At 37.5% G+C, this 24394-nt stretch overlaps 1 annotated feature.

Annotated features, from left to right (window-relative positions):
• Positions 1-24394: part of a centromere (Linear centromere model derived predominantly from reads generated in PMID: 17803354. This region does not represent an actual centromere sequence, as long-range ordering of repeats and unmapped WGS contigs is not provided by the model. For details of model production, see http://arxiv.org/abs/1307.0035.) that runs on past both edges of the window.

Here is a 24394-nt window from a genome sequence, read left to right as displayed (position 1 = left end):
ATGCAAACATCACAAAGAAGTTCCTGAGAATGCTTCTCTCTAGATTTTATATGTAATCCCGTTTCCAACGAAATCCTCAAAGCTATCCAAATATGCACTTTCAGATTCCACAAAAAGAGTGTTTCAAAACTGCTCTGTAAAAAGAAAGGTTCATCTCTGTTAGTTGAATACACACATCACAACCAAGTTTCTGAGAATGCTTCTGTCTAGTTTTTATGGGAAGATATTTCCTTTTTCATCATAGGCCTCAAAGCGCTCCAAATGTCCACTTCCAGATAGTGCAGAAAGAGTGTCTCAAACCTGGTATATAAAAGAGAACATTCTACTCTGTGACTTGAATGAAAACATCACAAAGCAGTTTCTGAGAATGCTTCTGTCTTGATTTCATATGAAGATATTCCCGTTTCCAACGAAACCTTCAAAGTTATCCAAATATCCACTTGCAGATTCTACAAAAAGAGTGTTTCCAAAATGTTGTATCAAAAGAAAGGTTCAACTCTGTTAGTTGAGAACACACATCTCAAATAAGTTTCTGAGAATGCTTCTGTCTAGTTTTTATTTGAAGATATTTCCTTTCTCACCACAGGCCTGAAAGCGCTTAAAACGTCCGCTTGCAGATACTACAGAGTGTTTCAAACCTGCTCTATGAAAGGGAATGTTCAGTTCTGTGACTTGAATGCAAACATCACAAAGAAGTTCCTGAGAATGCTTCTCCCTAGATTTTATATGTAATCCCGTTTCCAACGAAATCCGCAAAGCTATCCAAATATCCACTTTCAGATTCCACAAAAAGAGTGTTTCAAAACTGCTCTGTAAAAAGAAAGGTTCATCTCTGTTAGTTGAATACACACATCACAAACAAGTTTCTGAGAATGCTTCTGTCTAGTTTTTATGGGAAGATATTTCCTTTTTCAACATAGGCCACAAAGCGCTCCAAATGTCCACTTCCAGATAGTGCAGAAAGTGTGTCTCAAACCTGGTATATAAAAGGGAACATTCTACTCTGTGACTTGAATGAAAACATCACAAAGCAGTTTCTGAGAGTGCTTCCGTCTAGATTTTATATGAAGATATTCCCGTTTCCAAGGAAACCTTCAAAGCTATCCGAATATCCACCTGCAGATTCTACAAAAAGAGTGTTTCCAAAATGCCGTATCAAAACAAAGTTTCAACTCTGTTAGTTGAGAACACACATGGCAAATAAGTTTCTGAGAATGCTTCTGTCTAGTTTTTACTTGAAGATATTTCCTTTCTCACCATAGGCCTGAAAGCGCTTGAAACGTCCGCTTGCAGATACTACAGAAAGAGTGTTTCAAACATGCTCTATGAAAGGGAATGTTCAGTTCTGTGACTTGAATGCATACATCACAAAAAAGATCCTGAGAATGCTTCTCTCTAGATTTTATATGTAATCCCGTTTCCAACGAAATCCTCAAAGCTATCCAAATATCCACTTTCAGATTCCACAAAAAGAGTGTTTCAAAACTGCTCTGTAAAAAGAAAGGTTCATCTCTGTTAGTTGAATACACACATCACAAACAAGTTTCTGAGAATGCTTCTGTCTAGTTTTTATGGGAAGATATTTCCTTTTTCATCATAGGCCTCAAAGCGCTCCAAATGTCCACTTCCAGGTAGTGCAGAAAGAGTGTCTCAAACCTGGTATATAACAGGGAACATTCTACTCTGTGACTTGAATGAAAACATCACAAAGCAGTTTCTGAGAATGCTTCTGTCTTGATTTCATATGAAGATATTCCCGTTTCCAACGAAACCTTCAAAGCTATCCAAATATCCACTTGCAGATTCTACAAAAAGAGTGTTTCCAAAATGTTGTATCAAAAGAAAGGTTCAACTCTGTTAGTTGAGGACACACATCGCAAATAAGTTTCTGAGAATGCTTCTGTCTAGTTTTTATTTGAAGATATTTCTTTTCTCACCACAGGCCTGAAAGCGCTTAAAACGTCCGCTTGCAGATACTACAGAAAGAGTGTTTCAAACCTGCTCTATGAAAGGGAATGTTCAGTTCTGTGACTTGAATGCAAACATCACAAAGAAGTTCCTGATAATGCTTCTCCCTAGATTTTATATGTAATCCCGTTTCCAACGAAATCCGCAAAGCTATCCAAATATCCACTTTCAGATTCCACAAAAAGAGTGTTTCAAAACTGCTCTGTAAAAAGAAAGGTTCATCTCTGTTAGTTGAATACACACATCACAAACAAGTTTCTGAGAATGCTTCTGTCTAGTTTTTATGGGAAGATATTACCTTTTTCATCATAGGCCTCAAAGCGCTGCAAATGTCCACTTCCAAATATTACAAAAAGAGTGTTTCAAGCCTGCTGTATGAAGGGAAGTGTTCAACTCTATGAGTTGAATGCAAACATCACAGAGAAGTTTCTGAGAATGCTTCTGTCTTGATTTTATATGAAGATATTCCCGTTTCCAACGAAACCTTCAAAGCTATTCAAATATCCACTTGCAGATTCTACAAAAAGAGTGTTTCAAAATGTTGTATCAAAAGAAAGGTTCAACTCTGTTAGTTGAGGACACACATCGCAAATAAGTTTCTGAGAATGCTTCTGTCTAGTTTTTATTTGAAGATATTTCCTTTCTCACCATAGGCCTGAAAGCGTTTGAAATGTCCGTTTGCAGATACTACAGAAAGAGTGTTTCAAACATGCTCTATGAAAGGGAATGTTCAGTTCTGTGACGTGAATGCAAACATCACAAAGAAGTTCCTGAGAATGCTTCTCTCTAGATTTTATATGTAATCCCGTTTCCAACGAAATCCTCAAAGCTATCCAAATATCCACTTTCAGATTCCACAAAAAGAGTGTTTCAAAACTGCTCTGTAAAAAGAAAGGTTCATCTCTGTTAGTTGAATACACACATCACAAACAAGTTTCTGAGAATGCTTCTGTCTAGTTTTTATGGGAAGATATTTCCTTTTTCATCATAGGCCTCAAAACGCTCCAAATGTCCACTTCCAGGTAGTGCAGAAAGAGTGTCTCAAACCTGGTATATAACAGGGAACATTCTACTCTGTGACTTGAATGAAAACATCACAAAGCAGTTTCTGAGAATGCTTCCGTCTAGATTTTATATGAAGATATTCCCGTTTCCAACGAAACCTTCAAAGCTATCCGAATATCCACCTGCAGATTCTACAAAAAGAGTGTTTCCAAAATGCCGTATCAAAACAAAGGTTCAACTCTGTTAGTTGAGAACACACATGGCAAATAAGTTTCTGAGAATGCTTCTGTCTAGTTTTTACTTGAAGATATTTCCTTTCTCACCATAGGCCTGAAAGCGCATGAAACGTCAGCTTGCAGATACTACAGAAAGAGTGTTTCAAACCTGCTCTATGAAAGGGAATGTTCAGTCCTGTGACTTGAAGGCAAACATCACAAAGAAGTTCCTGAGAATGCTTCTCTCTAGGTTTTATATGTAATCCCGTTTCCAACGAAATCCTCAAAGCTATCCAAATATCCACTTTCAGATTCCACAAAAAGAGTGTTTCAAAACTGCTCTGTAAAAAGAAAGGTTCATCTCTGTTAGTTGAATACACACATCACAAACAAGTTTCTGAGAATGCTTCTGTCTAGTTTTTATGGGAAGACATTTCCTTTTTCAACATAGGCCTCAAAGCGCCCCAAATGTCCACTTCCAGGTAGTGCAGAAAGAGTGTTTCAAACCTGCTCTATAAAAGGGAATACTCAACTCTGTGACTTGAATGCAAACATCACAAAGCACTTTCTGAGAATGCTTCCGTCTAGACTTTATATGAAGATATTCCCGTTTCCAACGAAACCTTCAAAGCTATCCGAATATCCACCTGCAGATTCTACAAAAAGACTGTTTCCAAAATGCCTTATCAAAACAAAGGTTCAACTCTGTTAGTTGAGAACACACATGGCAAATAAGTTTCTGAGAATGCTTCTGTCTAGTTTTTACTTGAAGATATTTCCTTTCTCACCATAGGCCTGAAAGCGCTTGAAACGTCAGCTTGCAGATACTACAGAAAGAGTGTTTCAAACCTGCTCTATGAAAGGGAATGTTCAGTTCTGTGACTTGAATGCAAACATCACAAAGAAGTTCCTGAGAATGCTTCTCTCTAGGTTTTATATGTAATCCCGTTTCCAACGAAATCCTCAAAGCTATCCAAATATCCACTTTCAGATTCCACAAAAAGAGTGTTTCAAAACTGCTCTGTAAAAAGAAAGGTTCATCTCTGTTAGTTGAATACACACATCACAAACAAGTTTCTGAGAATGCTTCTGTCTAGTTTTTATGGGAAGATATTTCCTTTTTCAACATAGGCCTCAAAGCGCTCCAAACGTCCACTTCCAGGTAGTGCAGAAAGAGTGTCTCAAACCTGGTATATAACAGGGAACATTCTACTCTGTGACTTGAATGAAAACATCACAAAGCAGTTTCTGAGAATGCTTCCGTCTAGATTTTATATGAAGATATTCCCGTTTCCAACGAAACCTTCAAAGCTATCCGAATATCCACCTGCAGATACTACAAAAAGAGTGTTTCCAAAATGCCGTATCAAAACAAAGGTTCAACTCTGTTAGTTGAGAACACACATGGCAAATAAGTTTCTGAGAATGCTTCTGTCTAGTTTTTACTTGAAGATATTTCCTTTCTCACCATAGGCCTGAAAGCGCTTGAAACGTCAGCTTGCAGATACTACAGAAAGAGTGTTTCAAACCTGCTCTATGAAAGGGAATGTTCAGTCCTGTGACTTGAAGGCAAACATCAAAAAGAAGTTCCTGAGAATGCTTCTCTCTAGGTTTTATATGTAATCCCGTTTCCAACGAAATCCTCAAAGCTATCCAAATATCCACTTTCAGATTCCACAAAAAGAGTGTTTCAAAACTGCTCTGTAAAAAGAAAGGTTCATCTCTGTTAGTTGAATACACACATCACAAACAAGTTTCTGAGAATGCTTCTGTCTAGTTTTTATGGGAAGATATTACCTTTTTCATCATAGGCCTCAAAGCGCTGCAAATGTCCACTTCCAAATATTACAAAAAGAGTGTTTCAAACCTGCTGTATGAAGGGAAGTGTTCAACTCTATGAGTTGAATGCAAACATCACAGAGAAATTTCTGAGAATGCTTCTGTCTTGATTTTATATGAAGATATTCCCGTTTCTAACGAAACCTTCAAAGCTATTCAAATATCCACTTGCTGATTCTACAAAAAGAGTGTTTCCAAAATGTTGTATCAAAAGAAAGGTTCAACTCTGTTAGTTGAGGACACACATCGCAAATAAGTTTCTGAGAATGCTTCTGTCTAGTTTTTACTTGAAGATATTTCCTTTCTCACCATAGGCCTGAAAGCGCTTGAAACGTCAGCTTGCAGATACTACAGAAAGAGTGTTTCAAACCTGCTCTATGAAAGGGAATGTTCAGTTCTGTGACTTGAATGCAAACATCACAAAGAAGTTCCTGAGAATGCTTCTCTCTAGGTTTTATATGTAATCCCGTTTCCAACGAAATCCTCAAAGCTATCCAAATATCCACTTTCAGATTCCACAAAAAGAGTGTTTCAAAACTGCTCTGTAAAAAGAAAGGTTCATCTCTGTTAGTTGAATACACACATCACAAACAAGTTTCTGAGAATGCTTCTGTCTAGTTTTTATGGGAAGATATTTCCTTTTTCAACATAGGCCTCAAAGCGCTCCAAACGTCCACTTCCAGGTAGTGCACAGAGTGTTTCAAACCTGCTCTATGAAAGGAAGTGTTCAACTCTATGAGTTGAAGGCAAACATCACAGAGAAGTTTCTGAGAATGCTTCTGTCTTGATTTTATATGAGGATATTCCCGTTTCCAACGAAACCATCAAAGCTATCCAAATATCCACCTGCAGATCCTACAAAAAGAGTGTTTCCAAAATGCTGTATCAAAACAAAGGTTCAACTCTGTTAGTTGAGAACACACATCGCAAATAAGTTTCTGAGAATGCTTCTGTCTAGTTTTTATTTGAAGATATTTCCTTTTTCACCACAGGCCTGAAAGCGCTTGAAACGTCCGCATGCAGATACTACAGAAAGAGTGTTTCAAAGCTGCTGTATGAAAGGGAATGTTCAGTTCTGTGACTTGAATGCAAATATCACAAAGAAGTTCCTGAGAATGCTTCTCCCTAGATTTTTTATGTAATCCCGTTTCCAACGAAACCCTCAAAGCTATCCAAATATCCACTTTCAGATTCCACAAAAAGAGTGTTTCAAAACTGCTCTGTAAAAAGAAAGGTTCATCTCTGTTAGTTGAATACACACATCACAAACAAGTTTCTGAGAATGCTTCTGTCTGGTTTTTAGGAGAAGATATTTCCTTTTTCAACATAGGCCTCAAAGCGCTGCAAATGTCCACTTCCAAATATTAGAAAAAGAGTGTTTCAAACCTGCTGTATGAAGAGAAGTGTTCAACTCTATGAGTTGAATGCAAACATCACAGAGAAGTTTCTGAGAATGCTTCTGTCTTGATTTTATATGAAGATATTCCCGTTTCCAACGAAACCTTCAAAGCTATCCAAATATCCACTTGCAGATTCTACAAAAAGAGTGTTTCCAAAATGTTGTATCAAAAGAAAGGTTCAACTCTGTTAGTTGAGGACACACATCGCAAATAAGTTTCTGAGAATGCTTCTGTCTAGTTTTTATTTGAAGATATTTCCTTTCTCACCACAGGCCTGAAAGCGCTTAAAACGTCCGCTTGCAGATACTACAGAAAGAGTGTTTCAAACCTGCTCTATGAAAGGGAATGTTCAGTTCTGTGACTTGAATGCAAACATCACAAAGAAGTTCCTGAGAATGCTTCTCCCTAGATTTTATATGTAATCCCGTTTCCAACGAAATCCGCAAAGCTATCCAAATATCCACTTTCAGATTCCACAAAAAGAGTGTTTCCAAACTGCTCTGTAAAAAGAAAGGTTCATCTCTGTTAGTTGAATACACACATCACAAACAAGTTTCTGACAATGCTTCTGTCTAGTTTTTATGGGAAGATATTTCCTTTTTCAACATAGGCCTCAAAGTGCTCCAAATGTCCACTTCCAGGTAGTGCAGAAAGAGTGTTTCAAACCTGCTCTATAAAAGGGAATACTCAACTCTGTGACTTGAATGCAAACATCACAAAGCACTTTCTGAGAATGCTTCCGTCTAGATTTTATATGAAGATATTCCGTTTCCAACGAAACCTTCAAAGCTATCCGAATATCCACCTGCAGATTCTACAAAAAGAGTGTTTCCAAAATGCCGTATCAAAACAAAGGTTCAACTCTGTTAGTTGAGAACACACATCGCAAATAAGTTTCTGAGAATGCTTCTGTCTAGTTTTTACTTGAAGATATTTCCTTTCTCACCATAGGCCTGAAAGCGCTTGAAACGTCAGCTTGCAGATACTACAGAAAGAGTGTTTTAAACCTGCTCTATGAAAGGGAATGTTCAGTTCTGTGACTTGAATGCAAACATCACAAAGAAGTTCCTGAGAATGCTTCTCTCTAGGTTTTATATGTAATCCCGTTTCCAACGAAATCCTCAAAGCTATCCAAATATCCACTTTCAGATTCCACAAAAAGAGTGTTTCAAAACTGCTCTGTAAAAAGAAAGGTTCATCTCTGTTAGTTGAATACACACATCACAAACAAGTTTCTGAGAATGCTTCTGTCTAGTTTTTATGGGAAGATATTACCTTTTTCATCATAGGCCTCAAAGCGCTGCAAATGTCCACTTCCAAATATTACAAAAAGAGTGTTTCAAACCTGCTGTATGAAGGGAAGTGTTCAACTCTATGAGTTGAATGCAAACATCACAGAGAAGTTTCTGAGAATGCTTCTGTCTTGATTTTATATGAAGATATTCCCGTTTCCAACGAAACCTTCAAAGCTATCCAAATATCCACTTGCAGATTCTACGAAAAGAGTGTTTCCAAAATGTTGTATCAAAAGAAAGGTTCAACTCTGTTAGTTGAGGACACACATCGCAAATAAGTTTCTGAGAATGCTTCTGTCTAGTTTTTATTTGAAGATATTTCCTTTCTCACCATAGGCCTGAAAGCGTTTGAAATGTCCGTTTGCAGATACTACAGAAAGAGTGTTTCAAACATGCTCTATGAAAGGGAATGTTCAGTTCTGTGACTTGAATGCAAACATCACAAAGAAGTTCCTGAGAATGCTTCTCTCTAGGTTTTATATGTAATCCCGTTTCCAACGAAATCCTCAAAGCTATCCAAATATCCACTTTCAGATTCCACAAAAAGAGTGTTTCAAAACTGCTCTGTAATAAGAAAGGTTCATCCCTGTTAGTTGAATACACACATCACAAACAAGTTTCTGAGAATGCTTCTGTCTAGTTTTTATGGGAAGATATTTCCTTTTTCAACATAGGCCTCAAAGCGCTCCAAACGTCCACTTCCAGGTAGTGCAGAAAGAGTGTCTCAAACCTGGTATATAACAGGGAACATTCTACTCTGTGACTTGAATGAAAACATCACAAAGCAGTTTCTGAGAATGGTTCCGTCTAGATTTTATATGAAGATATTCCCGTTTCCAACGAAAACTTCAAAGCTATCCGAATATCCACCTGCAGATTCTACAAAAAGAGTGTTTCCAAAATGCCGTATCAAAACAAAGGTTCAACTCTGTTAGTTGAGAACACACATGGCAAATAAGTTTCTGAGAATGCTTCTGTCTGGTTTTTAGGATAAGATATCTCCTTTTTCACCATAGGCTTCAAAGCGCTGCCAATGTCCACTTCCAAATATTACAAAAAGAGTATTTCAAACCAGCTCTATGAAAGGAAGTGTTCAACTCTATGAGTTGAATGCAAACATCACAGAGAAGTTTCTGAGAATGCTTCTGTCTTGATTTTATATGAAGATATTCCCGTTTCCAAAGAAACCTTCAAAGCTATCCAAATATCCACCTGCAGATCCTACAAAAAGAGTGTTTCCAAAATGCTGTATCAAAACAAAGGTTCAACTCTGTTAGCTGAGAACACACATCGCAAATAAGTTTCTGAGAATGCTTCTGTCTGGTTTTTAGGAGAAGATATTTCCTTTTTCAACATAGGCCTCAAAGCGCTGCAAATGTCCACTTCCAAATATTACAAAAAGAGTGTTTCAAACCTGCTCTATGAAGGGAAGTGTTCACCTCTATGAGTTGAATGCAAACATCACAGAGAAGTTTCTGAGAATGCTTCTGTCTTGATTTTATATGAAGATATTCCCGTTTCCAACGAAACCTTCAAAGCTATCCAAATATCCACTTGCAGATTCTACAAAAAGAGTGTTTCCAAAATGTTGTATCAAAACAAAGGTTCAACTCTGTTAGTTGAGGACACACATCGCAAATAAGTTTCTGAGAATGCTTCTGTCTAGTTTTTATTTGAAGATATTTCCATTCTTATCATAGGCCTGAAAGCGCTTGAAATGTCCGTTTGCAGATACTACAGAAAGAGTGTTTCAAACATGCTCTATGAAAGGGAATGTTCAGTTCTGTGACGTGAATGCAAACATCACAAAGAAGTTCCTGAGAATGCTTCTCTCTAGGTTTTATATGTAATCCCGTTTCCAACGAAATCCTCAAAGCTATCCAAATATCCACTTTCAGATTCCACAAAAAGAGTGTTTCAAAACTGCTCTGTAAAAAGAAAGGTTCATCTCTGTTAGTTGAATACACACATCACAAACAAGTTTCTGAGAATGCTTCTGTCTAGTTTTTATGGGAAGATATTTCCTTTTTCATCATAGGCCTCAAAGCGCTGCAAATGTCCACTTCCACATATTACAAAAAGAGTGTTTCAAACCTGCTGTATGAAGGGAAGTGTTCAACTCTATGAGTTGAATGCAAACATCACAGAGAAGTTTCTGAGAATGCTTCCGTCTAGCATTTTATATGAAGATATTCCCGTTTCCAACGAAACCTTCAAAGCTATCCGAATATCCACCTGCAGATTCTACAAAAAGAGTGTTTCCAAAATGCCGTATCAAAACAAAGGTTCAACTCTGTTAGTTGAGAACACACATGGCAAATAAGTTTCTGACAATGTTTCTGTCTAGTTTTTACTTGAAGATATTTCCTTTCTCACCATAGGCCTGAAAGCGCTTGAAACGTCAGCTTGCAGATACTACAGAAAGAGTGTTTCAAACCTGCTCTATGAAAGGGAATGTTCAGTCCTGTGACTTGAAGGCAAACATCACAAAGAAGTTCCTGATAATGCTTCTCTCTAGGTTTTATATGTAATCCCGTTTCCAACGAAATCCTCAAAGCTATCCAAATATCCACTTTCAGATTCCACAAAAAGAGTGTTTCAAAACTGCTCTGTAAAAAGAAAGGTTCATCTCTGTTAGTTGAATACACACATCACAAACAAGTTTCTGAGAATGCTTCTGTCTAGTTTTTATGGGAAGATATTTCCTTTTTCATCATAGGCCTCAAAGCGCTGCAAATGTCCACTTCCAGGTAGTGCAGAAAGAGTGTCTCAAACCTCGTATATAACAGGGAACATTCTACTCTGTGACTTGAATGAAAACATCACAAAGCAGTTTCTGAGAATGCTTCCGTCTAGATTTTATATGAAGATATTCCCGTTTCCAACGAAACCTTCAAAGCTATCCGAATATCCACCTGCAGATTCTACAAAAAGAGTGTTTCCAAAATGCCATATCAAAACAAAGGTTCAACTCTGTTAGTTGAGAACACACATCGCAAATAAGTTTCTGAGAATGCTTCTGTCTAGTTTTTACTTGAAGATATTTCCTTTCTCACCATAGGCCTGAAAGCGCTTGAAACGTCAGCTTGCAGATACTACAGAAAGAGTGTTTCAAACCTGCTCTATGAAAGGGAATGTTCAGTTCTGTGACTTGAAGGCAAACATCACAAAGAAGTTCCTGAGAATGCTTCTCTCTAGGTTTTATATGTAATCCCGTTTCCAACGAAATCCTCAAAGCTATCCAAATATCCACTTTCAGATTCCACAAAAAGAGTGTTTCAAAACTGCTCTGTAAAAAGAAAGGTTCATCTCTGTTAGTTGAATACACACATCACAAACAAGTTTCTGAGAATGCTTCTGTCTAGTTTTTATGGGAAGATATTACCTTTTTCATCATAGGCCTCAAAGCGCTGCAAATGTCCACTTCCAAATATTACAAAAAGAGTGTTTCAAACCTGCTGTATGAAGGGAAGTGTTCAACTCTATGAGTTGAATGCAAACATCACAGAGAAGTTTCTGAGAATGCTTCTGTCTTGATTTTATATGAAGATATTCCCGTTTCCAACGAAACCTTCAAAGCTATCCAAATATCCACTTGCAGATTCTACAAAAAGAGTGGTTCCAAAATGTTGTATCAAAAGAAAGGTTCAACTCTGTTAGTTGAGGACACACATCACAAATAAGTTTCTGAGAATGCTTCTGTCTAGTTTTTATTTGAAGATATTTCCTTTCTTACCATAGGCCTGAAAGCGCTTGAAATGTCCGTTTGCAGATACTACAGAAAGAGTGTTTCAAACATGCTCTATGAAAGGGAATGTTCAGTTCTGTGACGTGAATGCAAACATCACAAAGAAGTTCCTGAGAATGCTTCTCTCTAGATTTTATATGTAATCCCGTTTCCAACGAAATCCTCAAAGCTATCCAAATATCCACTTTCAGATTCCACAAAAAGAGTGTTTCAAAACTGCTCTGTAAAAAGAAAGGTTCATCTCTGTTAGTTGAATACACACATCACAAACAAGTTTCTGAGAATGCTTCTGTCTAGTTTTTATGGGAAGATATTTCCTTTTTCAACATAGGCCTCAAAGCGCTCCAAACGTCCACTTCCAGGTAGTGCAGAAAGAGTGTCTCAAACCTGGTATATAACAGGGAACATTCTACTCTGTGACTTGAATGAAAACATCACAAAGCAGTTTCTGAGAATGCTTCCGTCTAGATTTTATATGAAGATATTCCCGTTTCCAACGAAACCTTCAAAGCTATCCGAATATCCACCTGCAGATTCTACAAAAAGAGTGTTTCCAAAATGCCATATCAAAACAAAGGTTCAACTCTGTTAGTTGAGAACACACATCGCAAATAAGTTTCTGAGAATGCTTCTGTCTAGTTTTTACTTGAAGATATTTCCTTTCTCACCATAGGCCTGAAAGTGCTTGAAACGTCCGCTTGCAGATACTACAGAAAGAGTGTTTCAAACCTGCTCTATGAAAGGGAATGTTCAGTTCTGTGACTTGAATGCAAACATCACAAAGAAGATCCTGAGAATGCTTCTCCCTAGGTTTTATATGTAATCCCGTTTCCAACGAAATCCTCAAAGCTATCCAAATATCCACTTTCAGATTCCACAAAAAGAGTGTTTCAAAACTGCTCTGTAAAAAGAAAGGTTCATCTCTGTTAGTTGAATACACACATCACAAACAAGTTTCTGAGAATGCTTCTGTCTAGTTTTTATGGGAAGATATTTCCTTTTTCAACATAGGCCTCAAAGCGCTCCAAACGTCCACTTCCGGGTAGTGCAGAAAGAGTGTCTCAAACCTGGTATATAACAGGGAACATTCTACTTTGTGACTTGAATGAAAACATCACAAAGCAGTTTCTGAGAATGCTTCCGTCTAGATTTTATATGAAGATATTCCCGTTTCCAACGAAACCTTCAAAGCTATCCAAATATCCACCTGCAGATTCTACAAAAAGAGTGTTTCCAAAATGCCGTATCAAAACAAAGGTTCAACTCTGTTAGTTGAGAACACACATGGCAAATAAGTTTCTGAGAATGCTTCTGTCTAGTTTTTACTTGAAGATATTTCCTTTCTCACCATAGGCCTGAAAGCGCTTGAAACGTCAGCTTGCAGATACTACAGAAAGAGTGTTTCAAACCTGCTCTATGAAAGGGAATGTTCAGTTCTGTGACTTGAATGCAAACATCACAAAGAAGTTCCTGAGAATGCTTCTCTCTAGGTTTTATATGTAATCCCGTTTCCAACGAAATCCTCAAAGCTATCCAAATATCCACTTTCAGATTCCACAAAAAGAGTGTTTCAAAACTGCTCTGTAAAAAGAAAGGTTCATCTCTGTTAGTTGAATACACACATCACAAACAAGTTTCTGAGAATGCTTCTGTCTAGTTTTTATGGGAAGATATTTCGTTTTTCAACATAGGCCTCAAAGCGCTCCAAATGTCCACTTCCAGGTAGTGCAGAAAGAGTGTTTCAAACCTGCTCTATAAAAGGGAATATTCAACTACTGTGACTTGAATGCAAACATCACAAAGCACTTTCTGAGAATGCTTCCGTCTAGATTTTATATGAAGATATTCCCGTTTCCAAGGAAATCTTCCTAGCTATCTAAATATCAACTTGCAGATTCTACTAAAGGAATGTTTCCAAAATGCTGTATCCACACAAAGGTTCAACTCTGTTAATTGAGGACATACAGCACAAAGAAGTTTCTGAGAATGCTTCTGTCTAGTTTTTACTTGAAGATATTTCCTTTCTCACCATAGGCCTGAAAGCGCTTGAAACGTCAGCTTGCAGATACTACAGAGTGTTTCAAACCTGCTCTATGAAAGGGAATGTTCAGTCCTGTGACTTGAATGCAAACATCACAAAGAAGTTCCTGAGAATGCTTCTCTCTAGATTTTATATGTAATCCCGTTTCCAACGAATTCCTCAAAGCTATCCAAATATCCACTTTCAGATTCCACAAAAAGAGTGTTTCAAAACTGCTCTGTAAAAAGAAAGGTTCATCTCTGTTAGTTGAATACACACATCAAAAACAAGTTTCTGAGAATGCTTCTGTCTAGTTTTTATGGGAACATATTTCCTTTTTCATCATAGGCCTCAAAGCGCTGCAAATGTCCACTTCCAGGTAGTGCAGAAAGAGTGTCTCAAACCTGGTATATAACAGGGAACATTCTACTCTGTGACTTGAATGAAAACATCACAAAGCAGTTTCTGAGAATGCTTCCGTCTAGATTTTATATGAAGATATTCCCGTTTCCAACGAAACCTTCAAAGCTATCCGAATATCCACCTGCAGATTCTACAAAAAGAGTGTTTCCAAAATGCCGTATCAAAACAAAGGTTCAACTCTGTTAGTTGAGAACACACATGGCAAATAAGTTTCTGAGAATGCTTCTGTCTAGTTTTTACTTGAAGATATTTCCTTTCTCACCATAGACCTGAAAGCGCTTGAAACGTCAGCTTGCAGATACTACAGAAAGAGTGTTTCAAACCTGCTCTATGAAAGGGAATGTTCAGTCCTGTGACTTGAATGCAAACATCACAAAGAAGTTCCTGAGAATGCTTCTCTCTAGGTTTTATATGTAATCCCGTTTCCAACGAAATCCTCAAAGCTATCCAAATATCCACTTTCAGATTCCACAAAAAGAGTGTTTCAAAACTGCTCTGTAAAAAGAAAGGTTCATCTCTGTTAGTTGAATACACACATCACAAACAAGTTTCTGAGAATGCTTCTGTCTAGTTTTTATGGGAAGATATTTCCTTTTTCAACATAGGCCTCAAAGCGCTCCAAATGTCCACTTCCAGGTAGTGCAGAAAGAGTGTTTCAAACCTGCTCTATAAAAGGGAATATTCAACTCTGTGACTTGAATGCAAACATCACAAAGCACTTTCTGAGAATGCTTCTGTCTTGATTTTATATGAAGATATTCCCGTTTCCAAAGAAACCTTCAAAGCTATCCAAATATCCACTTGCAGATTCTACAAAAAGAGTGTTTCCAAAATGTTGTATCAAAAGAAAGGTTCAACTCTGTTAGTTGAGGACACACATCGCAAACAAGTTTCTGAGAATGCTTCTGTCTAGTTTTTATTTGAAGATATTTCCTTTCTCACCATAGGCCTGAAAGCGTTTGAAATGTCCGTTTGCAGATACTACAGAAAGAGTGTTTCAAACATGCTCTATGAAAGGGAATGTTCAGTTCTGTGACTTGAATGCAAACATCACAAAGAAGTTCCTGAGAATGCTTCTCTCTAGGTTTTATATGTAATCCCGTTTCCAACGAAATCCTCAAAGCTATCCAAATATCCACTTTCAGATTCCACAAAAAGAGTGTTTCAAAACTGCTCTGTAATAAGAAAGGTTCATCCCTGTTAGTTGAATACACACATCACAAACAAGTTTCTGAGAATGCTTCTGTCTAGTTTTTATGGGAAGATATTTCCTTTTTCAACATAGGCCTCAAAGCGCTCCAAACGTCCACTTCCAGGTAGTGCAGAAAGAGTGTCTCAAACCTGGTATATAACAGGGAACATTCTACTCTGTGACTTGAATGAAAACATCACAAAGCAGTTTCTGAGAATGCTTCTGTCTTGATTTCATATGAAGATATTCCCGTTTCCAACGAAACCTTCAAAGCTATCCAAATATCCACTTGCAGATTCTACAAAAAGAGTGTTTCCAAAATGTTGTATCAAAAGAAAGGTTCAACTCTGTTAGTTGAGGACACACATCGCAAATAAGTTTCTGAGAATGCTTCTGTCTAGTTTTTATTTGAAGATATTTCCTTTCTCACCACAGGCCTGAAAGCGCTTAAAACGTCCGCTTGCAGATACTACAGAAAGAGTGTTTCAAACCTGCTCTATGAAAGGGAATGTTCAGTTCTGTGACTTGAATGCAAACATGACAAAGAAGTTCCTGAGAATGCTTCTCCCTAGATTTTATATGTAATCCCGTTTCCAACGAAATCCGCAAAGCTATCCAAATATCCACTTTCAGATTCCACAAAAAGAGTGTTTCAAAACTGCTCTGTAAAAAGAAAGGTTCATCTCTGTTAGTTGAATACACACATCACAAACAAGTTTCTGAGAATGCTTCTGTCTAGTTTTTATGGGAAGATATTTCCTTTTTCAACATAGGCCTCAAAGCGCTCCAAACGTCCACTTCCAGGTAGTGCAGAAAGAGTGTCTCAAACCTGGTATATAACAGGGAACATTCTACTCTGTGACTTGAATGAAAACATCACAAAGCAGTTTCTGAGAATGCTTCCGTCTAGATTTTATATGAAGATATTCCCGTTTCCAACGAAACCTTCAAAGCTATCCGAATATCCACCTGCAGATTCTACAAAAAGAGTGTTTCCAAAATGCCGTATCAAAACAAAGGTTCAACTCTGTTAGTTGAGAACACACATGGCAAATAAGTTTCTGAGAATGCTTCTGTCTAGTTTTTACTTGAAGATATTTCCTTTCTCACCATAGGCCTGAAAGCGCTTGAAACGTCAGCTTGCAGATACTACAGAAAGAGTGTTTCAAACATGCTCTATGAAAGGGAATGTTCAGTTCTGTGACTTGAATGCAAACATCACAAAGAAGTTCCTGAGAATGCTTCTCTCTAGGTTTTATCTGTAATCCCGTTTCCAACGAAATCCTCAAAGCTATCCAAATATCCACTTTCAGATTCCACAAAAAGAGTGTTTCAAAACTGCTCTGTAAAAAGAAAGGTTCATCTCTGTTAGTTGAATACACACATCACAAACAAGTTTCTGAGAATGCTTCTGTCTAGTTTTTATGGGAAGATATTTCCTTTTTCAACATAGGCCTCAAAGCGCTCCAAACGTCCACTTCCAGGTAGTGCAGAAAGAGTGTCTCAAACCTGGTATATAACAGGGAAACATTCTACTCTGTGACTTGAATGAAAACATCACAAAGCAGTTTCTGAGAATGCTTCCGTCTAGATTTTATATGAAGATATTCCCGTTTCCAACGAAACCTTCAAAGCTATCCGAATATCCACCTGCAGATTCTACAAAAAGAGTGTTTCCAAAATGCCGTATCAAAACAAAGGTTCAACTCTGTTAGTTGAGAACACACATGGCAAATAAGTTTCTGAGAATGCTTCTGTCTAGTTTTTACTTGAAGATATTTCCTTTCTCACCATAGGCCTGAAAGCGCTTGAAACGTCAGCTTGCAGATACTACAGAAAGAGTGTTTCAAACCTGCTCTATGAAAGGGAATGTTCAGTCCTGTGACTTGAATGCAAACATCACAAAGAAGTTCCTGAGAATGCTTCTCTCTAGGTTTTATATGTAATCCCGTTTCCAACGAAATCCTCAAATCTATCCAAATATCCACTTTCAGATTCCACAAAAAGAGTGTTTCAAAACTGCTCTGTAAAAAGAAAGGTTCATCTCTGTTAGTTGAATACACACATCACAAACAAGTTTCTGAGAATGCTTCTGTCTAGTTTTTATGGGAAGATATTTCCTTTTTCAACATAGGCCTCAAAGCGCTCCAAATGTCCACTTCCAGGTAGTGCAGAAAGAGTGTTTCAAACCTGCTCTATAAAAGGGAATATTCAACTCTGTGACTTGAATGCAAACATCACAAAGCACTTTCTGAGAATACTTCTGTCTTGATTTTATATGAAGATATTCCCGTTTCCAACGAAACCTTCAAAGCTATCCGAATATCCACCTGCAGATTCTACAAAAAGAGTGTTTCCAAAATGCCGTATCAAAACAAAGGTTCAACTCTGTTAGTTGAGAACACACATCTCAAATAAGTTTCTGAGAATGCTTCTGTCTAGTTTTTATTTGAAGATATTTCCTTTCTCACCACAGGCCTGAAGCGCTTAAAACGTCCGCTTGCAGATACTACAGAAAGAGTGTTTCAAACCTGCTCTATGAAAGGGAATGTTCAGTTCTGTGACTTGAATGCAAACATCACAAAGAAGTTCCTGAGAATGCTTCTCTCTAGGTTTTATATGTAATCCCGTTTCCAACGAAATCCTCAAAGCTATCCAAATATCCACTTTCAGATTCCACAAAAAGAGTGTTTCAAAACTGCTCTGTAAAAAGAAAGGTTCATCTCTGTTAGTTGAATACACACATCACAAACAAGTTTCTGAGAATGCTTCTGTCTAGTTTTTATGGGAAGATATTTCCTTTTTCAACATAGGCCTCAAAGCGCTCCAAACGTCCACTTCCATGTAGTGCAGAAAGAGTGTCTCAAACCTGGTATATAACAGGGAACATTCTACTCTGTGACTTGAATGAAAACATCACAAAGCAGTTTCTGAGAATGCTTCCGTCTAGATTTTATATGAAGATATTCCCGTTTCCAACGAAACCTTCAAAGCTATCCGAATATCCACCTGCAGATTCTACAAAAAGAGTGTTTCCAAAATGCCATATCAAAACAAAGGTTCAACTCTGTTAGTTGAGAGCACACATCGCAAATAAGTTTCTGAGAATGCTTCTGTCTGGTTTTTATTTGAAGATATTTCCTTTCTCACCATAGGCCTGAAAGCGCTTGGAATGTCCGTTTGCAGATACTACAGAAAGAGTGTTTCAAACATGCTCTATGAAAGGGAATGTTCAGTTCTGTGACTTGAATGCAAACATCACAAAGAAGTTCCTGAGAATGCTTCTCTCTAGGTTTTATATGTAATCCCGTTTCCAACGAAATCCTCAAAGCTATCCAAATATCCACTTTCAGATTCCACAAAAAGAGTGTTTCAAAACTGCTCTGTAAAAAGAAAGGTTCATCTCTGTTAGTTGAATACACACATCACAAACAAGTTTCTGAGAATGCTTCTGTCTAGTTTTTATGGGAAGATATTTCCTTTTTCAACATAGGCCTCAAAGCGCTCCAAATGTCCACTTCCAGGTAGTGCAGAAAGAGTGTTTCAAACCTGCTCTATAAAAGGGAATATTCAACTCTGTGACTTGAATGCAAACATCACAAAGCACTTTCTGAGAATGCTTCCGTCTACATTTTATATGAAGATATTCCCGTTTCCAAGGAAATCTTCCTAGCTATCTAAATATCAACTTGCATATCCTACTAAAGGAGTGTTTCCAAAATGCTGTATCCACACAAAGGTTCAACTCTGTTAATTGAGGACATACAGCACAAAGAAGTTTCTGAGAATGCTTCTGTCTAGATTTTATATGAAGATATCCCGTTTCCAAAGAAATCCTCAAAGGTGTCCAAATATCTACTTCCAGATTCTACAAAAAGACTGTTTCAAAACGGCTCTGTCAAAAGTAAGGTTCAACTCTGTTACTTGAGTACACACATCACAAGGAAGTTTCTGAGAATGCTTCTGTCTGGTTTTTAGGAGAAGATATTTCCTTTTTCAACATAGGCCTCAAAGCGCTGCAAATGTCCACTTCCAAATATTACAAAAAGAGTGTTTCAAAACTGCTCTATGAAGGGAAGTGTTCACCTCTATGAGTTGAATGCAAACATCACAGAGAAGTTTCTGAGAATGCTTCTGTCTTGATTTTATATGAAGATATTCCCGTTTCCAACGAAACCTTCAAAGCTATCCAAATCTCCACTTGCAGATTCTACTAAAAGAGTGTTTCCAAAATGTTGTGTCAAAACAAAGGTTCAACTCTGTTAGTTGAGGACACACATCGCAAATAAGTTTCTGAGAATGCTTCTGTCTAGTTTTTATTTGAAGATATTTCCTTTCTTACCATAGGCCTGAAAGCGCTTGAAATGTCCGTTTGCAGATACTACAGAAAGAGTGTTTCAAACATGCTCTATGAAAGGGAATGTTCAGTTCTGTGACGTGAATGCAAACATCACAAAGAAGTTCCTGAGAATGCTTCTCTCTAGATTTTATACGTAATCCCGTTTCCAACGAAATCCTCAAAGCTATCCAAATATCCACTTTCAGATTCCACAAAAAGAGTGTTTCAAAACTGCTCTGTAAAAAGAAAGGTTCATCTCTGTTAGTTGAATACACACATCACAAACAAGTTTCTGAGAATGCTTCTGTCTAGTTTTTATGGGAAGATATTTCCTTTTTCAACATAGGCCTCAAAGCGCTCCAAATGTCCACTTCCAGGTAGTGCAGAAAGAGTGTTTCAAACCTGCTCTATAAAAGGGAATATTCAACTCTGTGACTTGAATGCAAACATCACAAAGCACTTTCTGAGAATGCTTCCGTCTAGATTTTATATGAAGATATTCCCGTTTCCAACGAAACCTTCAAAGCTATCCGAATATCCACCTGCAGATTCTACAAAAAGAGTGTTTCCAAAATGCCATATCAAAACAAAGGTTCAACTCTGTTAGTTGAGAACACACATGGCAAATAAGTTTCTGAGAATGCTTCTGTCTAGTTTTTACTTGAAGATATTTCCTTTGTCACCATAGGCCTGAAAGCGCTTGAAACGTCAGCTTGCAGATACTACAGAAAGAGTGTTTCAAACCTGCTCTATGAAAGGGAATGTTCAGTCCTGTGACTTGAAGGCAAACATCACAAAGAAGTTCCTGAGAATGCTTCTCTCTAGGTTTTATATGTAATCCCGTTTCCAACGAAATCCTCAAAGCTATCCAAATATCCACTTTCAGATTCCACAAAAAGAGTGTTTCAAAACTGCTCTGTAAAAAGAAAGGTTCATCTCTGTTAGTTGAATACACACATCACAAACAAGTTTCTGAGAATGCTTCTGTCTGGTTTTTAGGAGAAGATATTTCCTTTTTCAACATAGGCCTCAAAGCGCTGCAAATGTCCACTTCCAAATATTAGAAAAAGAGTGTTTCAAACCTGCTGTATGAAGGGAAGTGTTCAACTCTATGAGTTGAATGCAAACATCACAGAGAAGTTTCTGAGAATGCTTCTGTCTTGATTTCATATGAAGATATTCCCGTTTCCAACGAAACCTTCAAAGCTATCCAAATATCCACTTGCAGATTCTACAAAAAGAGTGTTTCCAAAATGTTGTATCAAAAGAAAGGTTCAACTCTGTTAGTTGAGGACACACATCGCAAATAAGTTTCTGAGAATGCTTCTGTCTAGTTTTTATTTGAAGATATTTCCTTTCTCACCACAGGCCTGAAAGCGCTTAAAACGTCCGCTTGCAGATACTACAGAAAGAGTGTTTCAAACCTGCTCTATGAAAGGGAATGTTCAGTTCTGTGACTTGAATGCAAACATCACAAAGAAGTTCCTGAGAATGCTTCTCCCTAGATTTTATATGTAATCCCGTTTCCAACGAAATCCGCAAAGCTATCCAAATATCCACTTTCAGATTCCACAAAAAGAGTGTTTCAAAACTGCTCTGTAAAAAGAAAGGTTCATCTCTGTTAGTTGAATACACACATCACAAACAAGTTTCTGAGAATGCTTCTGTCTAGTTTTTATGGGAAGATATTTCCTTTTTCATCATAGGCCTCAAAGCGCTGCAAATGTCCACTTCCAAATATTACAAAAAGAGTGTTTCAAACCTGCTGTATGAAGGGAAGTGTTCAACTCTATGAGTTGAATGCAAACATCACAGAGAAGTTTGCTGAGAATGCTTCTCTCTTGATTTTATATGAAGATATTCCCGTTTCCAACGAAACCTTCAAAGCTATCCGAATATCCACTTGCAGATTCTACAAAAAGAGTGTTTCCAAAATGTTGTATCAAAAGAAAGTTTCAACTCTGTTAGTTGAGAACACACATCACAAATAAGTTTCTGAGAATGCCTCTGTCTGGTTTTTAGGAGAAGATATTTCCTTTTTCCAACATAGGCCTCAAAGCGCTGCAAATGTCCACTTCACAAATATTACAAAAAGAGTGTTTCAAACCTGCTCTATGAAGGGAAGTGTTCAACTCTATGAGTTGAATGCAAACATCACAGAGAAGTTTCTGAGAATGCTTCTGTCTTGATTTTATATGAAGATATTCCCGTTTCCAACGAAACCTTCAAAGCTATCCAAATATCCACCTGCAGATCCTACAAAAAGAGTGTTTCCAAAATGCTGTATCAAAACAAAGGTTCAACTCTGTTAGTTGAGAACACACATCGCAAATAAGTTTCTGAGAATGCTTCTGTCTAGTTTTTATTTGAAGATATTTCCTTTCTCACCATAGGCCTGAAAGCGCTTGAAACGTCCGCTTGCAGATACTACAGAAAGAGTGTTTCAAACCTGCTCTATGAAACGGAATGTTCAGTTCTGTGACTTGAATGCAAACATCACAAAGAAGTTCCTGAGAATGCTTCTCCCTAGATTTTTTATGTAATCCCGTTTCCAACGAAATCCTCAAAGCTATCCAAATATCCACTTTCAGATTCCACAAAAAGAGTGTTTCAAAACTGCTCTGTAAAAAGAAAGCTTCATCTCTGTTAGTTGAATACACACATCACAAACAAGTTTCTGAGAATGCTTCTGTCTGGTTTTTAGGAGAAGATATTTCCTTTTTCAACATAGGCCTCAAAGCGCTGCAAATGTCCACTTCCAAATATTAGAAAAAGAGTGTTTCAAACCTGCTGTATGAAGGGAAGTGTTCAACTCTATGAGTTGAATGCAAACATCACAGAGAAGTTTCTGAGAATGCTTCTGTCTTGATTTCATATGAAGATATTCCCGTTTCCAACGAAACCTTCAAAGCTATCCAAATATCCACTTGCAGATTCTACAAAAAGAGTGTTTCCAAAATGTTGTATCAAAAGAAAGGTTCAACTCTGTTAGTTGAGGACACACATCGCAAATAAGTTTCTGAGAATGCTTCTGTCTAGTTTTTATTTGAAGATATTTCCTTTCTCACCAAAGGCCTGAAAGCCCTTAAAACGTCCGCTTGCAGATACTACAGAAAGAGTGTTTCAAACCTGCTCTATGAAAGGGAATGTTCAGTTCTGTGACTTGAATGCAAACATCACAAAGAAGTTCCTGAGAATGCTTCTCCCTAGATTTTATATGTAATCCCGTTTCCAACGAAATCCGCAAAGCTATCCAAATATCCACTTTCAGATTCCACAAAAAGAGTGTTTCAAAACTGCTCTGTAAAAAGAAAGGTTCATCTCTGTTAGTTGAATACACACATCACAAACAAGTTTCTGAGAATGCTTCTGTCTAGTTTTTATGGGAAGATATTTCCTTTTTCATCATAGGCCTCAAAGCGCTCCAAATGTCCACTTCCAGATAGTGCAGAAAGAGTGTCTCAAACCTGGTATATAAAAGGGAACATTCTACTCTGTGACTTGAAAGAAAACATCACAAAGCAGTTTCTGAGAATGCTTCCGTCTAGATTTTATATGAAGATATTCCCGTTTCCAACGAAACCTTCAAAGCTATCCGAATATCCACCTGCAGATTCTACAAAAAGAGTGCTTCCAAAATGCCGAATCAAAACAAAGGTTCAACTCTGTTAGTTGAGAACACACATGGCAAATAAGTTTCTGAGAATGCTTCTGTCTAGTTTTTACTTGAAGATATTTCCTTTCTCACCATAGGCCTGAAAGCGCTTGAAACGTCCGCTTGCAGATACTACAGAAGGAGTGTTTCAAACATGCTCTATGAAAGGGAATGTTCAGTTCTGTGACTTGAATGCAAACATCACAAAGAAGTTCCTGAGAATGCTTCTCTCTAGATTTTATATGTAATCCCGTTTCCAACGAAATCCTCAAAGCTATCCAAATATCCACTTTCAGATTCCACAAAAAGAGTTTTTCAAAACTGCTCTGTAAAAAGAAAGGTTCATCTCTGTTAGTTGAATACACACATCATAAACAAGTTTCTGAGAATGCTTCTTTCTAGTTTTTATGGGAAGATATTACCTTTTTCATCATAGGCTTCAAAGCGCTGCAAAAGTCCACTTCCAAATATTAGAAAAAGAGTGTTTCAAACCTGCTGTATGAAGGGAAGTGTTCAACTCTATGAGTTGAATGCAAACATCACAGAGAAGTTTCTGAGAATGCTTCTGTCTTGATTTTATATGAAGATTTTCCCGTTTCCAACGAAACCTTCAAAGCTATCCAAATATCCACTTGCAGATTCCACAAAAAGAGTGTTTCCAAAATGTTGTATCAAAAGAAAGGTTCAACTCTGTTAGTTGAGGACACACATCGCAAATAAGTTTCTGAGAATGCTTCTGTCTAGTTTTTATTTGAAGATATTTCCTTTCTCACCATAGGCCTGAAAGCGTTTGAAATGTCCGTTTGCAGATACTACAGAAAGAGTGTTTCAAACATGCTCTATGAAAGGGAATGTTCAGTTCTGTGACGTGAATGCAAACATCACAAAGAAGTTCCTGAGAATGCTTCTCTCTAGATTTTATATGTAATTCCGTTTCCAACGAAATCCTCAAAGCTATCCAAATATCCACTTTCAGATTCCACAAAAAGAGTGTTTCAAAACTGCTCTGTAAAAAGAAAGGTTCATCTCTGTTAGTTGAATACACACATCACAAACAAGTTTCTGAGAATGCTTCTGTCTAGTTTTTATGGGAAGATATTTCCTTTTTCAACATAGGCCTCAAAGCACTCCAAACGTCCACTTCCAGGTAGTGCAGAAAGAGTGTCTCAAACCTGGTATATAACAGGGAACATTCTACTCTGTGACTTGAATGAAAACATCACAAAGCAGTTTCTGAGAATGCTTCCGTCTAGATTTTATATGAAGATATTCCCGTTTCCAACGAAACCTTCAAA

Source organism: Homo sapiens, chromosome 9 (genome assembly GCF_000001405.40).
Source record: "Homo sapiens chromosome 9, GRCh38.p14 Primary Assembly".
Taxonomy (NCBI): Eukaryota; Metazoa; Chordata; class Mammalia; order Primates; family Hominidae; genus Homo; species Homo sapiens.
This window is presented reverse-complemented; position numbering and strand designations above follow the sequence as displayed.